The sequence below is a fragment of the Homo sapiens genome, chromosome 13, assembly GCF_000001405.40.
Source record: "Homo sapiens chromosome 13, GRCh38.p14 Primary Assembly".
NCBI classification, from domain to species: Eukaryota; Metazoa; Chordata; class Mammalia; order Primates; family Hominidae; genus Homo; species Homo sapiens.
This window is the reverse complement of record NC_000013.11, coordinates 44352979-44373574: the sequence shown is the minus strand read 5'-3', so window position 1 is coordinate 44373574 and position 20596 is coordinate 44352979. Positions and strand designations below refer to the sequence as shown.

Sequence of the window (20596 nt, the reverse complement as noted above, 5' to 3'; positions counted from 1 at the left end):
TTGTCGGCCGGTGACCCACCCCAGCCCCGGGGAAGGGATGAGGGCGGCCGCGCTTCAGGCCGGGCCGCGCGGTCTCCCCTGCACCGCCGCCCCCTGGACGAGGGCTGGACCCAAGGCGGTGGTCAGGGACCTCAGAACACAAGTAGAACCAGTCCAGGCCCGGGCCCGCGCTGCCCGGGTATGGTCCACCAAACGAGCCTTCTCTTTAAGGGTCTCGAGAAGGGCCCCACGCTGGGGGACCCCACTGCAGAACTTTTCGTGAGGGCTGCAAGGAGGGCCGCGTTGTAAAATAAAGAGGAGACACGAAGCGGCATCCCCTGAGGGTTGGGGATCGGGCCGTGAGGATGGAGTTGGGACAGGCCTTTTTGCTTTGGTAGTTGTAGGGGTTGCATTGGAAGATGGGCCAGCGGCAGAGCGGAGCATGCAGGAAAGAGGAAGAGGCCTTGGACCTGCAGCCCAGGTCGGATTTGGTGGTTACTGTCTAAATCTGAAGCTTTGGCCTGCCTTGACTCCCCACCCACCCAGGGCAGCTTGGACCTCTCTCTAGCCACCCTTGTCCCGAGGGGTCTGAGTGTCTCCCAGACTAAACTGGGCATTTTCTGCAGTGGAAGGATAAAAATGGAAGCGTTTACGCGCCTCCCAGACACTGGTATTAGGGCTCAAGAGCTCTACAGATTGCCTGGGGAGGTAGGGGTGGAAGGGGTTCAGTTCCTCACTTGGAGTTAGCTCTTAGAAGCTCAGAAGAGTGGAGGCGAAGAGGGGACATTCAGCCTGGGAGATCTGGGGCAGCGGGAAGTGGGGATACCGGGTCGGGGTGAAGGCAAGCAGCAGCACCCCCAGCATGGGGAAGAAGGCCTGAGGCTGTCTCTGGCCACTGCATCTCTAGGCCTTCTCTTGGAGCGGGAGGTGGCTGGGTTTCCAGGGAATTTTGTGTGAGTAAAATTTTCCCATGTCATTGGAGAGTTAGGAAGAGCTCCTCTTTTGGGGCCTTTTTCCAAGCGGGTCCCCCTCACCCCGCTACAGGCTTCTTGTCACTCAGGCTTCAATAAAGGCCATTCTGGGGGCTGCTTGCTGTAACCTAGAAGACAGAATTGCCTAGGATCATTAGTAGAGTCATTTTTTTTTTTTCCTACTCTACAGGCCAATTAATTTGAAACAAGCTTCTATGGTCTTTTAACTGTTAGCATCACCACTGTTGTAACAGGACCATAAACCCAGTCTGCCCCACTCTAGTCCCATGTTTTTAATAACTGTTGGCTCTTTTTTAGGGGTTTGGGTGGGGGGATTCCTACCTCAGTGATCCCTGCTGAGCCTGGCTGTTGTCTGTGGTCCAGAAGGTTCCTTTACCTGACTCACTCCTCTCAGATCATGTCCAAATACCAGGAGACTGACCCAGGTCCTCACCAGGTGAGTAGAGGTCTGGCTCTGAGCGACATTAAGGAAAAGACACAGACAGAGACTGTTTTCTCTTTGGGTCTTCACATTCAGTGAGTACAGTTCAGAAGTGTTCTTAACTGAGAGAAGCCCCTTTTGGGGAAAATTTTTCTTTACTGTTGACTCCTTTTTCCTGCTATGCTTCACTTTTCCGGCATTTTAAATTAGTTTGTTTTAATTATGAGTAGACTACATCTACACAGTAAATAGTCAAACAGAAATAGGATAGAAAATGAAAAGTAAAGGTCTCTCTTTCCTTGCCACCCTCCCCAAAAAGTTCCCACGGTTCCTGGGTTGCCCTTCCAGTATATACAAGACTATTTGTATATTCCCTTCTAAAAAAAAACGGAATAGTAGTATGCAAACTGTTCTGCCACGTGCTCTTCTAACTTAATATATCAACATTATCATATCACTTATATATGACCTCTTTCTTGTAGTTGTGTTATGTCTCATAGTATGATTATACAGTAATATATTGAACTGATGTAACCATGGATGATTATTTCCAGTTTTTCTTTTTTTGTGGTTGCCAACAATGCTTCAGTGAATATCCCTGTACATAGATCAGTGTGTACTTGTGCAGGTATATCTGCGTGTGATATTGTGAAATATATATTTGATTGTAGTCCCTGTTTCCTGACCTAAAACTCTTAAATTCCTTGGACTCTCCAGAGTGATGAAAATATCTTACCTTTTGTATGCTAATGAGATGGTTGGTGACTTGGAGACCCTAGATAGCTTCAGGATGGGGACTGGTCACCAGAAAGATCAAGGCAGGATTAGAGGGTTGGGACTTTTAGTCCCACCCTGTCCCCCCAGACCTCCACAGAGAGGAGAGGGGCTGAAAGTTAAGTTGATCACCAGTGACCAATGATGTAATCAATCAGACATATGCAATGAAGCCTGTATAAAAGCCCAAAGGATAGGGTTTGTTGAGTTCTGGAGAGCAGAACATCAGGTTCCTAGAGGGTGGCGTGCTCAGAGAGGATATGGAAGCGCCACAGCCCTTCCCACATTTCTTGCCCTGTGCATCTCTTCCATCTCACTGTTCATCTATATGCTTTGTAATATCCTTCCTCATAAATGAGCAAACAGAAGTAAAGTGTTTCACTGAGTTCTGTGATCCACTCTAGCAGATTAGTCCAAACAAGGAGTGGGTTGGGGGAACTCCAGTTTATAGCTGGGCAGGCAGAGGTACAGGAGACAACCTACTACCTGGGATTGGCATCTGAAATGGGGGGCGGTCTCATAGGATCAAACCCTGAGCCCCTGCTATTTCCAGGTACATAGTGCCAGAATTGAATTGAATTAAAGGACACCCAGCCGGTGTCTGTTGCAGAATTGCTTGGTATGAGGGGAAACATCCCCCACACATCTAGTGTTAAAAGTGTGCTGGCTGTGTGAGAGTGGGAGACAACACTTTGGTTTCTCCTATATCACAACACTGGAATTAGATTCCTGGAAGTGAAATTGCTGCAACTTTTTATGTCCTTGGTTGGATGAAGAAACCTCGTGCTGTGACCTCCACTTTACCTGCTCACACCCCTGCTTTTGTCCTCTGCAGTCAGGCCAGCTCCTCTGCAGGTCTCAGTCCTGTTTATTGCCTTGAGGATCACCATCATGGACCAAGCAGTTTCCCAGCATGGATCCTGGCCCTTCTTATACTCAGCCTCCAGACCCTTATGTGGGGAGCTGGGGCTAAAGTCTATAAGCTGTGTTCCTGGAGTTCCAGAGTCACTACTAGACTACGAAGGAGCAAAGCATGGAGTCGTCTTGCTCTTTCGAGGACTTAGGAGGGGAAAATGGAAACTTGATTAAGGAGAACTTCTCCTGGGTTCATCTATGGTGGCAGCATGGAGTTTTGTAATATACCACTAGCATGCAGTGCTCAACCACAACTTTTAAAATTGTTATGGGCAAAGTGCCAGGAAACTGCTAACTGGTTAAAATTTAATTTTGGCTGGTAAAATTTTCAGCCTTTATTTTTATTTTTGAGACAGAGTCTCACTCTGTCGCCCAGGTAGGGGTGCAGTGGCGCAATCTTGGCTCACTGCAACCTCTGCCTCCCGGGTTCAAGTGATCCTCCTGCCTTAGCCTCCTGAGTAGCTGGGATTACAGGCATGCACCACCACGCCTGGCTTTTTATATTTTTAGCAGAGACGGGGTTTCACCATATTGGCCAGGGTGGTCTTGAATTCCTGTCCTCAAGTGATCTGCCCACCTCAGCCTCCCAAAATGCAGGGATTACAGGTGTGAGCCACCATGCCCAGCCAATTTTCAGCCTTTAGAGCAAGAAATCCTAACAAGCCTATGCCCATTAATCATAAATCTGCCCCACTTAGGGCACTGGATGTGTGGCTGTACAGACTGAGTTTTACCCATCTTTATAAATGATGCTACACTACTAAACTGTGATGCATTGGACATCTCTCATTTTTCTGTGGCTGACCAGCATGCAAACATTCTTTATATTTGGGGCACTCCATCACTGTGAGAGTCTTAGGACCTTCTTTCCCACCGTGGAGCATAAGGGGGCCACATACTTGGTCTCCCAACCCCTCACAGCTAGGGTGGCGTGTGATCTGGCCAATGAGATTCTCCTTTTGGGAACTGTGAATCTTGATCAAGTGGTGCAAAGACAGAGACACGTTAAAATTCATCTTGGTGGTCGAGTTTCTAGAGACTGGTAGTACCTAGCAATCATGGTGGAACCAGTGACAGTATCCTTTTTATTCCGTGGTACCTGAAATCCTTACAATAAATTCTTCCGCTTCAATCAGCCAGAGTGAGTTTGTCTTATTTACAACCAAGAACCCTGACTCATGTACATGAAAACAAACAAAAAACCAGAATGTCTTCCTTTGTCATTTCCCCTTCCAGATCTGGAGTGACTGTCATGTCACTTGAAGCTTTCACACATTGTTAGCTAGTGGTCTCTCTTCACCTTATCTCACTAAGGGGAACTGAGTATAGAGGCCTTGACGACAGGTGCTGTGGGTGGCTGGTCTCAATTATGGATGGGAGTGGTTGACAGGCACACCCTGTGTAAATAAAACCAGCAGATAACCGACACTTCAAATGAATACTTTCTTCTTTTTCCAAACCATTTTCAGTACGGCTAGAAAAGAGGAAAATTTGGCAAATCTCAGGTCATCTCCTTTTATACATGTTACTTACATTCTGGTGGAAATGTTCATGAAGTTGTCTCAATAGTGGGCAGAGAAAATCAAGAAAGCTGATAGCAAATGTTATCTGCCACATGCATTGGAGTCAACTCAATGCACTAGATTATGATTTTATGGAATCATGTTATGTTGTAACTGGAAGGAAACCCAGACAGTCATTTATTCATTCGTTTAGTGTTTATTGAGTGTCTGCTATATACCAGACACTATTTTAGACACTGAGAATTCAATGGTTGCTAGAAGAATGTCTGCTTTAGAGAGCTCTAAGTTTTGTGGAGAGGACAAGTAAATGTCGTGAGATTGTCCAAATTTCACAAATGAGTAAAAGCCTCAGAATTGCAAAGGGAATTGTAGCAGACCTGAAAGCAGAATTGTGGCCTCCTGACTTCTCATTTTTCCCAAAAGTAGCTTTACTAGCTAAACTTGAATGGGAGCCAGGGTAACAGGGCACCCTCATGGCTGAGCTTTGGAGCAGCTTATACATGCACGGAAAATAAATCTCCTCTCTCTCTGTCTCTTTCTCTTTCTCCCTCACCCCGCCCCGCCACCCCCCCTCAACCCCCCACGCTGCAGAACAAAGATAAACTATTTCAGACCTCAAAGGCTTGAACTTTGGTCCACAAGTGGTGGCACAAGACAGACTTTATCCATTATGATAGCTATGTAATTCCTTGACCCTGGAGGTGATCAGATTAAGCTTTAAAATGCAAGATGTGATCAACCATCTTAAGTCTGTAATTGCCTGGCCACATCTGTTATTAATAGCAGTAAAACCGTCATATCCCGAAGGAAAAAAAAACACACCCTGCTACAGTACTTTCCCTAATGACCTCCCATGGCAATTCACTCACAACTGAAGAAAGGAGAGATGCTTCCACATGTTTGAGCCCAAGCTGTAGCCATGTGTCTGCTATAATTTCATCAGTTATTTCAGGATAAAGCCACTTTGTTTCTGTTCAATCAGGTGCATGTTTTTAATAGCTGGAAGAGTTTCCTGGTAGGGCAGGAATAACATCGGTAATCATATCTAGCATTTCCTAAACACCTACTGAGGGCCAGACACTTCACCTGCACTTTCTCACTCCTTACCACAGCCTTATAAATGTACATGCATCCTGAAAACAGACACATCTTCCTGACTCTTCCACTTGTTAGTTTGATGATACAGGTTTTCTTCCTGTCCAGGTGTGGTGGCTCACCTGTAACCCCAGTGATTTGGGAGGCTGAAGCAGGAGGATCTTTGAGGCCAGAGTTCGAGAGCAGCCTGCACAATATAATGAGACCCTGTCTGTACACAAAAAATTAGCCAGGCATGGTGGTACATGCCTCTAGTCCCAGCTACTTGGGAAGAGGGGGGTGGGAGGGAGGCTGAGGTGAGAGGATCACTTGAATCTAGGAGTTTCAAGCTGCAGCGAGCTATGATTGCACCATTGCACTCCAGCCTGGGTAATACAGCAAGACTTTCTCTCCAAAGATAAAAATAAAAAGTCTCTTTTCTCATCTATAAAATGGGGATGATAGCAAAACTAATCAGGGTTGTTTTGAGATTGGATAAAATAATCCATATTAAAAGCACTAAGCACACAGCCTGGACCCATGCTAGTTACTTAATAAATATCAGCGACCACTATTAGGGTCATTTCCATTTTACCATTGAGAAAACAGGTTTACAGAAGTTACAGAGCTTGCCCAAGGAAGGTCCAAACAAATGAGCCATAGTCCCTGCCCTCAAGTAGTTTGGAGTCCATTTGAGGCACTCAAACATACTGGGTGTTGTAGGCACAGATGAGCACCAGGAGCCACTGAAGTGGCAGACAGGACATGGGGACAAAGGTTTTCAGGTCATTTTTATCTTGTTAATTATTCTAAAATTCTGGGGAAAAAAAAAATTCAAGCATTACCATACCAAAGGAATATAGAGAAAAGTAGATTCTCGTTATCCCTGACACTAAATTCAAAGCAACCTCTGTTACTACTTCTGCAGGTGTCTATGTATATTCAAGCATGCATGCATAATGTATTTGTGATGTATGTGCATATATTATATGCTCGTTTGTGTATCATATATTTTTAAAAACTTTTATTTTTTAAAAGCTCATTTGTGTATATTTTAAAAAATTCTTTTAATCCCTTTAAGAATCTCAATGGTATCATGTTATTCATTATAACCTGCACCATATTTTTGCTTTTTTTTCAATTAATAATAGTTCAGAAAGATTGATCCAGGGCGGGCACGGTGGCTCATGCCTGTAATCCCAGCACTTTGAGAGGCCAAGGCAGACAGTTCATGAGGTCAGGAGTTCGAGACCAGCCTGTCCAACATGGTGAAACCCCATCTCTACTAAAAATACAAAAATTAGCCGGGTGTGGTGGAGAGCGCCTGTAGTCCCAGCTACTCAGGAGGCTGAGGCAGGGGAATTGCTTGAACCTGGGAGGTGGAGGTTGCAGTAAGCCGAGATTGCGCCACTGCACTCCAGCCTGGGCTACAGAGCAAGACTCCGTCTCGGAAAAAACAAAAAAGATGATCCATATCATTACATTTATATCTATTTCATTCTTTAAAAATGACCACATGGTGTTGCATTGTGTGATGATACTGTAATTGATTCAACCAGTTCCCTATGGATGAATATTTGGATTGTTGTAGTTTTTTGCTGCTATAAATTGACAGATAGCCTTGTATATGTGTTTTTGCAAACACACATGTGTATGGAAAGTCCTACTGGAGGACTTCTTAGAAGTGTAATTCACTGGGTCAAAAGTTATGTGCATAGAAGTGACGGACGTTGCCAGTTTATCCTCACTTTCTCCAGTTGAGAGGTTTATCACTTTATATTCCCTCCATAATGTATATGAGTATGTTCAGGCTAGTTTTTTTTTTATAGTTATGTGACATTGGACAAGCAATTCTGGGTAAGTAGCATTACTTCTTTCTGTTTATAGACTTTACTAGTTTGATTGAGTGCTACGTTTATGAGGCCAAGGTCATGAATTTGTGTACTAAGTAGTCAATTCATTTGCCATATCCTTAATCAAGGTCACTTCTTTCCACAGTCTGTGAGTCACAATAGGAACCAGAGGAGAAAATGGACAGATAGGCATTGCACTGGTAGCTTCTTCCTAGACCATGTGTGTTCATCATGGTATCCCCAGAGGTTAGCATCATGACGTAAAGACTGAAAGGATTAGGGGGATTCAGGTATTGATTACACTAAATAGCTATTCAGTGGTTTATATAATTTGCATTTCATTCATTTAGAGAACATGGCAACTTGTGTTAGATACACAAAGCAGGTTCATACTCCAAGCTGTGACATAGCCATCTAAAATAGATAATTTAAGCCCTCATTTAAATGACTATGTTATTTTCCTTTGATCGAAATGAAAAGTTAGATTACCATTTTAAATACACGAACATACATGTTTAATATACTCCATTAACTTATTCCTCATCATAGTTTTTTTTTGATCTCTGTCACATCAAATTTAAAGAAAAGTCCACACCTTTGCAATAACTTCATCACCAGGTTACTCAGAAGAAGCTATGCAGATGCTCGGAGTGCCACCAGCCTTTCTGAACATCAGCACGTTAAACCTAGGATCTCTGCTTCTAAAAATTCTGGAAACCTGTCACATCCAATATACTTTAAGAGGGTTTTGTAAAGAGCTTATTGTCAGTGATGTATGTGGATTAGTAAACCATCTGCGGAAAGCCCAGATGTTTTCAGGGACCTGTTTGCACCAAGACCACAGCAACTTATTAATCACACAACATTCCTGGGTAATTATGTAGGTGGTGAGCACTGAGCCACTCTGGTTTCTCCAGCTTCATCTTGGTGGAACTGCTTACTAGTCAAGGATTTCCTTAAGGTTGATCAATATCACAATGAAACCTGAGCCAAGATTAGGAAATAGGTGAGGGGCAGGAAGAGGAAGCTCTGAAGGTATCTCTACCTGGTGCACATTAGAAAGAAGCATTGCAGGCCTCATGTCATCTGGAAATACAAGCCTGGGGCCAGAGCCATGGTCCCTCTCCCGCAACAGACATGCACACCCAGTTTGTCTGGGAGCAAAAATCAGGAAAAGAGTCAATCTGCAGGAAGAAAGGAAGTGATTCAGAGCAGTGGGCAATTGTCAACACCAAACCAGTTCCCAGGAATTCCTCTAAGCATGATATTGGGTGTGTGGTTTAAGCTGCCCTTTGACTCCAGAGCCCTTTGTCCAAGTGTGACAAAATATCAGCAAAGGGTGACATGAGCTACAGCCGCCACCCTCGGGTCAGGCGTTGGGGGAATAGTGTGAATTCTTTCTGACAGGGAGAGAATCCTATTGTCTACTTTTCAAGGCATTTCACAGGGCTTAATTAGTCAATCCCCACACCACTACTACTGGGAGAGAGAGGTCGGTGTTACTATTATTCCAAGTTTACAGCTGAGAAACTAGCACAGATGGTGACCGCTACAGAGTATCTATATAGGAGGACCTTAGGGACAACAATCTGCTAAGAAGTGGGGCAGGGTGGACAGTGGCTGGAATATGTCTTGAAGTTGTGTTTGCAGAGCATTTTTTTTTTAAATAAAATTAAGAAAACCTCAACTATGCCCAGTCCCTTCCTGTCACTGCCGTATTGGCACCACGATTGCCTGAGGGCCGTACCAGTGTTAGCATTGGGTGAGGGTGAGAGTTGTCTGGCCTCTCTGCTCTTTGTTTGGCAGTGTATGACCCCACCTCCTTCATAGACTCACGGCATCTCGGTGTTGACAAGGACCTTGGACACTAACCAGTCCAATTCTCCATTAAAGGCGACACAAAGGAACCATCAGAAGATAGAAACACAAATCATGGCAGTTGCTTGGTAACTGAGAGTGATGATTTCCATATGCAAAAACTGTACTCAATGAACTTGAGAAGTGTGAGCGCGTGTGTGTGTGTTGTGTGTGTGTGTGTGTATGTAAGGAAGGGGGACTCATTTTCTGCTGCTTTCTCGATCATTTTGATAATATGTAGGACACAAAAAGTTAAAATAAAATGTCTTCATTTTAACACAGTTAATTATAATCCTCCAGTAAAAATCGTACACAGAGTTTGGCAGTTAAAGGAACAAAGTCTAGAAGGAAAAAAACTGACTGGTTCGGCTGAAGGTATTTTGTTCCTTTTCTCTGAAGTAGCAAAAATGTGTTTCCTTCAGCTTGATGGTGGTTAATGATGTTAGTGTTACTGGTTTAATAACAAATGTTCACAATTTTCCTTGCAAACCTGGTGCTCCAGGAAGCTCCCATTTTTGATTCCCTTTAAACTTTGTTTTGCTTTAGCAATTTGGGGCTCCTTTTGGGCTTTATTCCTTTGTCCTAATTGGTACTCCATGAGTGTGTTCACTTGGTTTGTATTTGCTTGGTCTGCCCTCTCTTTCTCTGGCCATGGTCCCTACTGCACTTTTCACAGTGTTTAACAGAACTTTCAAAGGCCAGGACGCTTAGGCATGTGGCCTTTTGATTGGCAAAGTTGTCCTAGATTAAGAATGGTGTTGCCTGAACGCACATCTAGCATTTTGACCCCATGCAATAAGAAAGAGCTTGATGTTTATATGGATAGCTCTCAAAAGGGAAGACTTGACTTACAATGCATGTAGCTCATTCTGCAGCTCTGTTATAATAATCTGACATGGAAAACAAAGCCTTCATCAATTCCTTCTACATACGGCCAGCCACAGCTGGTTTTTTTTTTTTTTTTTTTTTTTTTTTTAAGTCTCTGGTTGTCTTTGTGCTCGTGCCACTGTGAAGAGCTCATGGAAAGACAAGGTCCATCTGGGTCTTTCTTCACCTTTTGATGGCCAAGAGGGCCAAAGAGCAAGAGCCTGTTTACCTTCCCCAAGGTCCACATTTCCTCTTGCTTCTTCATCCCTCCAGAGATGCTACCATCTGGGCAGCCCATGGGAACATCTCCGTGAGTGGCTGTGTGGCTCTGTGGGCCTCTGGGTTTGGTTTGGGTCAACCCTTTCCGCTCTGCTCCATCAAGAATCGTCATGATTGGTATTACGTCATCCTTTCACAGTTCCTCCTGTTCTCTGGGCACTCTGGGTTTTCCTTTTTCCTTCCCTGCCCAAACCCACAGAGTCTAATCAGTACCCAGCAGAGCTTTATTACACACTTGGCTTTCTCAGTGACAACTTAATAAAAAGGGACCTTAACTCCCCTTCTCGTTTCTTCCCATCCATTTCCTTAACCTCGACTCCACCCCATGTGAACTTGCTGTGATAAATGGTACGGTTTGCTCTCTCCATCTCTGGCCTGTTGAGGTCTGGAAACAATCAACTCGTCTGACACTTATTTCCATAGCTAAACCTGTCTAAATCAAGTTGTGGTCTTCTGTGCTTCGCTGGCTATTTGTTTTCTTAACTCTGAAATGTGTCTCCTCCTCACCATCCCCCTCCATCCTGTGTATTTTGTTTATTCAACGTGGGTGGTTGCCAATATAAAAGGCAGAAAATGATCAGTTAGGACTCTAAAGAGTTCAGGAGGAGGAAGAGGAAGGGGACAGGAGGCCAACGAGAGAGAGACTGGGCCACTTGGAAAACTTCTGGCTGACAAGGGCCAGTCGCTTTGCCTGGGACACATGTCTGCAGAGTTGACTGACTAAATGCTGCCTCATGTCCATAATAACCTGTTTTGTGAAATATAATGCCCTCCCTCCCCTGCCCCACCAATGTCTGCCAATTCTTTTTTTTTTTTTTTTTTTTTTTTTTTTGAGACGGTGTCTCGCTCTGTCTCCCAGGCTGGAGTGCAATGGTGCCATCTTGGCTCACTGCAACCTCTACCTCCCGGGTTCAAGTGATTCTCCTGCCTCAGCCTCCTGAGTAGCTGGGATTACAGGCGTGCGCTACCACACCCAGCTAATTTTTGTATTTTTAGTAGAGACGGAGTTTTACCATGTTGGTCAGGCTGGTCTCGAATTCCTGACCTCGTGATCCACCCGCTTTGGCCTCCCAAAGTGCTGGGATTACAGGCTTGAGCCACCATGCCTGGCCATCTGCCAATTCTTTATTGGTCTTTTTCCTTAGGATTCACTTTTTCTTTTTTCCAGAAGGGATCTTTATTTTATTGTTGCAAATAGCTGAAGTGGTCTACCTTTTTTAAAAAGCTATGGTAAAATATACATAACATAAAATGTAACCATTTTAAAGTATACAATTCAGTGGCATTAAGTACATTCACAGTGCTATGCGACCATCACCACTATTTCCAGAACTTTCTCATTATCCCAAAGGGAAACTCTGTACCCAGTAAACAATATCCCCCTATCCCTTGGTAACCTCTATTCTACTTCTGTCTCTATGAAGTTGCCTGTTCTAGGTACCGAAATGTATTTGGTTGGTGCAAAAGTAATCGCAGTTTTTGCCATTAGTGATTTTTGCCACTAAAAGTAATGGCAAAGGCTGAGCATGGTGGTTCACGCCTATAATCCCAGTACTTTGGGAGGCCGAGGCGGGTGGATCATCTGAGGCCAGGAGTTTGAGACGAGCCTGGCCAAAATGGCAAAATCCCATCTCTACTAAAAATACAAAAGGTTAGCGGGGTGTGGAGGCGAGCACCTGTAATCTCAGCTACTCGGGAGGCTGAGGCAGGAGAATGGCTTGAATTTGGGAGACGGAGACTGCAGTGAGTGAGAGTGAGTGACATCAGGCCATTGTACTCCAGTCCGGGTAACAAGAGTGAAACTCTGTCTCAAAAAAAAAAAAAAAAAAAAAAAAAAGTAATGGCAAAAACCGTGATTACGTTGGCACCAACCTAATACTTTTGAAGACTTGGGTTTCTTAAACTCATAGCAATTGGCTGGAAGCCTCAAGGCACTTCTGTTAGACTGCTGAGTGACCATTCTGGGAACTGAGTTTTTCCCTAAGTAATCCAGGAAACAGCCATGATTCACCTGAATTACTCATACTATGGCTCCTAGCAAACAGTTTGACTTTTTTTCATGTTATGCACAAAGCCATCATTTCTTCCTTCCCTTCTTCATGGGAATTTTCTAAAAGTTTACTAAAAATTTGTCTGTCATAAAAAGGTGTCTTGTTATGGCCCTTAGGAGATGATTTTAGTAACTGGTTTAGAAACAAATTCTCTTCATTCCACTCTTTAAAAGAAATTGTGTGAATATACACAATGTAAAATTTACGATTTTAACCAGTTTTAGGCATACTGTTCTGTGGCATTAAGTATATTCACATTGTTATACAACCATCACCAACATTCATCTCCAGAACTTTCCCATCATCCCAAACTGAACCTCCATACTCAATGAGCACTAACTCCCAATATTCCCCTGCTCCCATCCCTGGCAACCCCTATTCTACTTGGTGTCTCTATGAATTTGCCTATTCTAGGTCCCTTATATAATTCCCTTTAATGAACTCAATGTATACAAATCCCATTCAATAGCAGAAATAAGATTCCACATCCAGGGAAAAGGAACTGGTTAAACTTATTATGGCCTTTACTTCAGGCATATATTTTGACACAGCTGGACTTGCAGGCAGAATTTTAAAACCCCAAGGTTCAGGCTGGGCGTGATGACTCTCGTCTGTAATCCCAGAACTTTGGAAGACCAAGGTGGGAGGATCACTTGAGGTCAGGAGTTCAAGACCAACCTGTCAGTATAGTGAGACCCTGTCTTTACCAAATAAAAATAAAAAATTAGCTGGGTGCAGTGGCATGCACCTGTAATCCCAGCTACCTGGGAGGCTGAGGTGGGAGGATGACTGGAGCCCAGGTGGTCAAGGTTGCAGTGAGCTATGGGTGAGTCACTGCACTCCAGCCTGGGTGACAGAGCCACACCGTCTCTAAAAAACAAAAACAACAACAACAAAAATTTAAAAATAAAAATAAATAAAACCCAAGGTTCCTGATTGCAGATGAGCTTTTGGTGATTCCTGTAACATGATAAGGAAACCACTTTTACAAATGTTGTCCATGTTGGGTTAGTTTCTTCTTGGGAAACAGGAATCACATGGATGGGCTAATGTTTCTTTAACTGCAGCCAAGGCATGCTGAGTCCTAAAAGGGAGGTTATTTCCTTGAGGGACTCTATGACTTAGTTTAACAGTTGGAGTGTGGGCCCCTGGACTCATTCAAAGGGCTTTCAGACTCTGGGGCAGGCCACTCAAGTAACCGTCTCAGTGTTGTGGTTAGATAATTTGTTGTTATCTCTCTTTTTTATTTTTTTGAGACAGAGTCTAGCTCTGTCACCCAGGCTGAAGTGCAGCGGTGCAATCATAGCTCACTGAAGCCTTGACTTCCTGGGCCCAAGCTATCCTCCCGCCTTAGCCTCTGGAGTAGCTGGGACTACAGATGTGTGCCACCACGCCTGGCTAATTTTTAAATTTTTTGTAGAAACATGGTCTCCCTGTGTTGCCCAGGCTGGTCTCAAATTCCTGGGCTCAAGAGATCCTCCCGCCTCAGCCTCCCAAAGTGTTGGGATCACAGACATGAGCACATGGCCTTGTCATTATCTTTCATATGTTGGAGGGTGAAAAGTAGGAGGGAGGGAAGGATTTGAATTCGTTTTCTCCCATCTTGGTCTAGAAAGGATCAAGGTAAATGTGCAGAGGCAGAAGTCCCAGGCTGAATTGTCAGAAAAGGCTTCAGGAGCCTTATAAATATTATGTATAAATAAACAGAAGAGCAAGAGCACAAAATGCTTCTCTTAATAGAATACTCAGGCCGCACCTGCCCTCCCGAAGGCTCTTCTGACAGTTCAGCTGGGACTTCTGCCTCTGCTGACATCCTGCTGCTCTCTTTTTGAGTTCTCCGGCTGAGACACACATTGCCCTGGAAAATGCTTATCTTTGTTTAAGGTCTAACTTACGCCTCAATAAGATTATAAATTCATCTAGAGCAAGAATCAGGTCTAATCAGCATTATCTTTGCACCTGCCCTTCAGCAAACATCAAACACCAAACCGAACTTAGTTCTGCCCACAGCAGGTGGTCAGTTATCATTTGACCAGATTGTTACTAGCAAGGAAAATATCTGTTTTAAGCTCTCTGGGATTTTTTTTTTCTTCTGAGTTTTCATTCGTTACTATCACCTCTTTTCCCCTCAACACTTGTGCAAATTCCTTCTTTTCCCTCCATGCTACCTAAAGCAGGAGCTCTTTAGCTTTTAGGGGCAGCTGAGGTAGAGCAGAAAAAACGCTGAATTTGGAACCAGAAGTCATGGGTTTGGGATCTGGAACTCTGTGACTTGGGAAGGCCTTGTTGTTCTATCTATAGAGATGAGTTAACAGTTTTCCCTCCATGGTGCTGCTGTGAGGATGAAGTGTGGAATAAGATGTCAAAGTGAGTTGTACTCTGTCATGATATGTAGGGAGGCACTAGGGTGGTTAGGGATGTGGCCTTGGGCACCAGCTTGCCTGGGTTTGGATCCAACTCAGCATTATTGCTGTGGCTGTGCCACAGACACTCTGGGTCTCAGATTCCTGATCCATTCAATGGGGATGTTAACAATACTCACCTCACAGGCTTGTTCTGAGATTTCAACAGTTAACATGTGTGTAGACTTACAGTAAGCACCATGTGAAATGACGATGATGATGCAATTATAAAGGGTTATTATTACAGGCTGCAGATAAATTCCAATTGTATCCCCGTTTTTATATTTTATCATCTTTTTTCCCCTCAGTCTGCAAGGTCCTTTTCTTCTTTTCTTCTTCTCTTCCCCTTCCTCTTCTCCTTCCTTCCTTCCTTCCTTCCTTCCTTCCTTCCTTCCTTCCTTCCTTCCTTCCTTTTTCTCTCCTCTCCTCTCCTCTTCTCTTTTCCTTTCCTTTCTTTCTCTCTCTTTCTTTCCAGGGTCTTGTTCTGTTACTCAGGCTGGGGTGCAGTGCTGCAATCACAGCTCATTACAGCCTTGAACTCCAGGGCTCAAGTGATCCTCCTGCTTCTGCCTCCGTAGTAGTAGCTGAGACTGTAGGCATGTTCTACCATGCCCAGCTAATTGATTTTTACTTTGTGTAGAGACAGGGTCTCCCTATGTTGCCCAGGCTTGCAAAGTGTTTCTACTGATATTTTACCATCATTTAAATCTCTATGTCTAAAATGGATCATATTATTGCAATCCAAGTTTCCCCCAAACCTTTTCTGCTGCTCAGCTCTACTACTGCCAGTGAGGGATGGTCCTCAGTTCTTAGTTGCCCATGTTTATCCCCACGTATTTATGCCCACAGTTATCCTTGACTCTCTTCTTCCTACCATCCTTCATGTCCAAGCCATCAATGGGGTGTGTGCTATTGCAAACATACTTATGCTTAGCCAAAAGGGATGGAGACAGTGTCTTTTGTGATAAGAAAATTACTATGAGACCAAGTCAGTGGGGGACACACTGGATTCAGTTCAAAAGCACTGACCACAGACTCAGTTGGAGATCCTTATTCTTGTTGTTTCCTCAGCTTTAGAAACAGCAACCAAGGCTTTGCTCCATGGATTGTGGATCACAACATTTCCTACTCTGAAAGCTTTGTCTTGACCTCCAGGTCTCAGTCAGGGTCCCTGAACAGGTACCAGATGTCTCCTTCATAGGATTAAATGTGGTATAGGATGTTAAAATGTATATATATATATTTTTTTTTTTGACAGGTTCTCACTCTGTCACACAGGCTGGAGTGCAGTGGCATGATCTCAGCTCACTGCAACCTCCACCTCCCAGGAACAAGTGGTCTTCTCACCTCAGCCTCTCGAGTAGCTGGGACTACTGGCACGTACCACTATGACTGGCTGATTTTTGTATTTTTTGTAGACAAGTTCTCACTATGTTGCCCAGGGTGGTCTTGAACTCCTAAGTTCAAGTGATCCACCCGCCTCAGCTTCCCAAAGTGCTGGGATCACAGGTATGAGCCACTGCTCCCAGCCAAAGTGTAATTTTACCTTTTTTTGTGTGATTTGATCAGTGTTGGCGTCTCCTTTGGGCTGTAAACTCCATAAGGATGGATACCTTACCAGCTTTTACTCACCATGTTATCCCCAGGACCAAGCAGAATAAAGAAAAATGGTATCAGTTGACTGAATATATAAAAACCAAAACACACTAATATTAATAAGATTAAAGAGCTACTCAACGTTTAGTCAGAATTCCAGACTTCTAAATCTTCAGTGCCCCCACCCCCTGCCCTTTTTTTTTTTTTTGAGATGGAGTCTTGCTCTGTTGCCCAGGCTGGAGTGCAGTGGTGTGATCTTGGCTCACTGCAAGCTCCACCTCCCGGGTTCACACCATTCTCCTGCCTCAGCCTTCTGAGCAGCTGGGACTATAGGCGCCCGCCACCACGCCTGGCTAATTTTTTGTGTTTTTAGTAGAGACGGGGTTTCACTGTGCTAGCCAGGATGGTCTCCATCTCCTGACCTCGTGATCCACCTGCCTTGGCCTCCCAAAGTGCTGGGATTACAAGAGTGAGCCACGGCACCCGGCCTTCAATCCCTGTTTTAAAGATAGAAGTTCAGATCAAATTAAACTCATATCAGAGTGGTTAAGGGTGTAGGTTTTGAGTTCAAATCCTGACTTTCTACTTATTAGCTAGGTGACTTAAGACAATTACTTGACTTCTCTAAATCTCAACTTCATCACTTGTAACACCAGTTTAATAATACTTAATCTCCTCAAGTAATGCATAACACTTGGTGAAAGTAGCAATTATTATTGACCAACTGTTTTGGCTGGAGGTTCCACAGGATACAAATTAATCCTCTCATGTCATTTCTGCATAAGAAAATAATGGATAAATGACTAGCAATGGGCCACAACTAGTTTGCTAAAGATATAAACCACTACTTTAAAGAGTTCTGGGAATCTCTCTTGGTTTGAAAATAAAAACACATTTGTGTTTTTGATTACATATATCCTAATACTATCTGAACTGTATTAAAAAAAAAAACCCTAGCACATGCTTAACTTGACACGTTTATGATCACATTTTCTCAGAGCAATTTCCATTGGATGTGTTGTTTCACAGATTGTGTTACTAGCGAGTTAGGCAAAATGGAAAATAAGATATCAAGTTGACATCTTGGATAGATGAAAATACAGATTAATGGGGCAGGGGAATTCACTCAGGGCTGTAAGGAAGTACACTGTAAGTTGAGCAGTAATTTCATTAGAATATGCCAGAAGATACAGGCAAATTGCCAGGCTGGGATATGACAAAAGTGAATACATTGGCTTTTACTGTCACAGCAGATTGTCAGATTTTTTTAAAGGAATGATTTTATGGGTCTATACATTGGAAGGAAAGAAAAAGAGAAATTCAGGGCTGTTGCTTATGAGATAGGTTGAAAGCGTGATCAGAAAAGCAAGATAAATAAAATATTTGGCATGCAAGCCCATAAGAGGACACAGATAAAATCTTTGTGTTTTTTTTCCTTGGTTGCTGTTAGAGCAAAACAAAACAAAACAAAACAAACAAACAAAAAAAGAATGAGAATTTGAACATCTGGGTTCTACTCCTATTTCTACTAGCTATGTGATCTTAATAAACCACTTACTTCCATGCCTAATTTGTCTGATGTGTAAAAAGAGAATAATATTTATTCTTTTAATTCATGAAATTTTTGTGATAATCTATCAAATAAAACAGATGAAAAAATCTTTGAAAAATATAAAGCATAATGTGTTCTTATTATATACATTTTCTGGAACTTTTATTTTCCTGTTACATTTTTTATGTTTCAAAAGTTATCCAAATTGTTCCTCATTTCCCAAAAATGCTTAGCTAATACTTCTGTTGCTTATTAACAGACTAGATCTGAAGATGAGCTTGGGGCTTGTTTACAGCTTTATTGTGTACTTAATGCTTTCTTCAGATATGCCTATCTTGCCTACCTTCAGTCTTTCAGGAGAACCATAAAACATGTTGAAGTTATGATGATTGATTTTAAGGATACATCCTGTCTAGGGCCAAAGCTTCCACTGTGGAGGGAACCCCGTTTATTTTTTTTTCTCTAGGAAGGCTGGTATGACTGATTAAAATGAGGTAAGTTCTTATGAGCGCTTTTCTCAGGGTTGGCGATACAGATTAGATAACAGCCTAATAACATTACTGATTAATCTAGATTTACACATACCTACTATATGAAAGAGGAAAGTCAGAACTACTATATTTAGCAGAATTGAAACCTCACTAATTATAAGACATATTTTTGTGTTGTTCGTGGTAAGAAATAAGAAAAAATTCCACCAATTATAATTTTAAGATACTATAGATTATAAGTAGACCCTGATTTCAGAGATTCTTAAATGGAAGAAACTGTGTGACTTAGAAGTAATGAAATATGGTCAGGATTATAGGTGTCTATTTTGCCTGAGGAATGAATAAGGACAGACCTTATTCATTTGTGAAGTTCCCACAACAGAGCCATGAGGAAGAGATTCCTTTCCGTATTTTATGGTGAAGGAGACTGAGATGCAAATATGTTTCTCTGCCAAATGATTCAAAACAAGGAAATAATGATCCTGGAATTTAAGTCCAGGTCTGTCTGATTCCTAACTCTATCACACCATGTTGGGATTTATTGTATATTGACTTATCAGGAAGTTTTACTCTTTCTCTGACTGTATTTTAAGATTAGAGAACTTAGAAAACTTTCTTAAAATACAGCTGGCAATGTTCTACATGCTAGCTAGACTTTCCTCCCTTTTTTTTTGAGACAGAGTATCGCTCTGTCGCCCAGGCTGGAGTGCAGTGACGCAATCTCGGCTCACTGTAAGTTCTGCCTCCTGGGTTCATGCCATTCTCCTGCCTCAGCCTCCCGAGTAGCTGGGACTACAGGTGTCCGCCACCATGTCCGGCTAATTTTTTTGTATTTTTAGTAGAGACCGGGTTTCACTGTGTTTGCCAGGATGGTCTCGATCTCCTGACCTCGTGATCAAAGTGCTGGGATTACAGGCGTGAGCCACCGCGCCCAGCCTACTTCCCTCCTTTCAAAACCTCAAGTTACATTTGACTTTCACAGAATAACTGACCCCAGAATTGGGCTGGACCCAATACTTGCTCAGGTCCTTACCAGAAGACAGGCGATGTACACCCTGATTGGGAAGGAAGCTGCCTGCACCAGAGTTACGAGGAGCTAAGATGGCGCAGCCAAGGTGGTGAGCAAACTGCTTTCCAGATCAGTGCTTTTTCAGGATACCATTCTCCTTTTTATTTTGGACAACAAGTATGTAAGTATAGAAACAATAGAGAATGTAACAAATGCCCCGTGCCCACTAGCCAGAAGGAGCAGATGTGCATGTTTCATTGTATTTGCTTCAGAGAAAGTCCAAGTCCCTTTTGTTCTCCTTCCCAGTCCCATTCCACTTCTTCCTTCCCCAGGGGTCACTGCTATCACAAATGTATTGTGCATCTTTCAATTTATGCCATTTTTTCTTTCCTCATATAACATATCATAATAGTGTATTTTAAAAACACCCACAGAGATGGTGACATGATATATTTATCATCCTGTGACTTTCTTTTTTTCACTTAACATTATGTTGCCAGGATGTAACCATGTGGATTTATGATAATCTAATTCATTCATTTCAACTTCTGCACAGTGTTCCCCAGTGTGAATGGGCCACAAAATCTATTAATCCCTCTATCTTTGGACATCACATAGACTGTTACAGTGAAACTTCTTACACACATCTCCTTGTGCACATATGGGACGTTTCCTCCAGAAATATATAGCTGGAAATGGTATAGCTGGGTGATAGGCCACATGCATTTTCAATATACCAAATGTTTTCTGAACTAATTTATACCATCAGCCATGTGCAAGAATTCTCATTTCCCCCACATGTTTGACGATATGAAGAACTGGTATTTTCAAATTTTGCCAATTGGTTGGGTGGGAAATGGTAGCTCTGTTGTTTTCATTGACTGGTGATATTTTATTTTTGACATGTGTTAAAGCTTGTGGGAATGTGGACTGTGCCCACACACCACAGGTCTCAGCCTCC

At 43.0% G+C, this 20596-nt stretch overlaps 1 long non-coding RNA gene across 1 annotated transcript; it reads left to right on the top strand.

Annotated features, from left to right (window-relative positions):
- The first annotated feature begins 8 nt into the window (after window positions 1-8).
- LOC105370297 (uncharacterized) lies at window positions 9-4216 on the top strand. Its single transcript, XR_001749858.3, has 2 exons — window positions 9-178; window positions 378-4216. It is a non-coding gene; the product is annotated as an uncharacterized LOC105370297 (long non-coding RNA).
- The last annotated feature ends 16380 nt before the right edge of the window (window positions 4217-20596 follow it).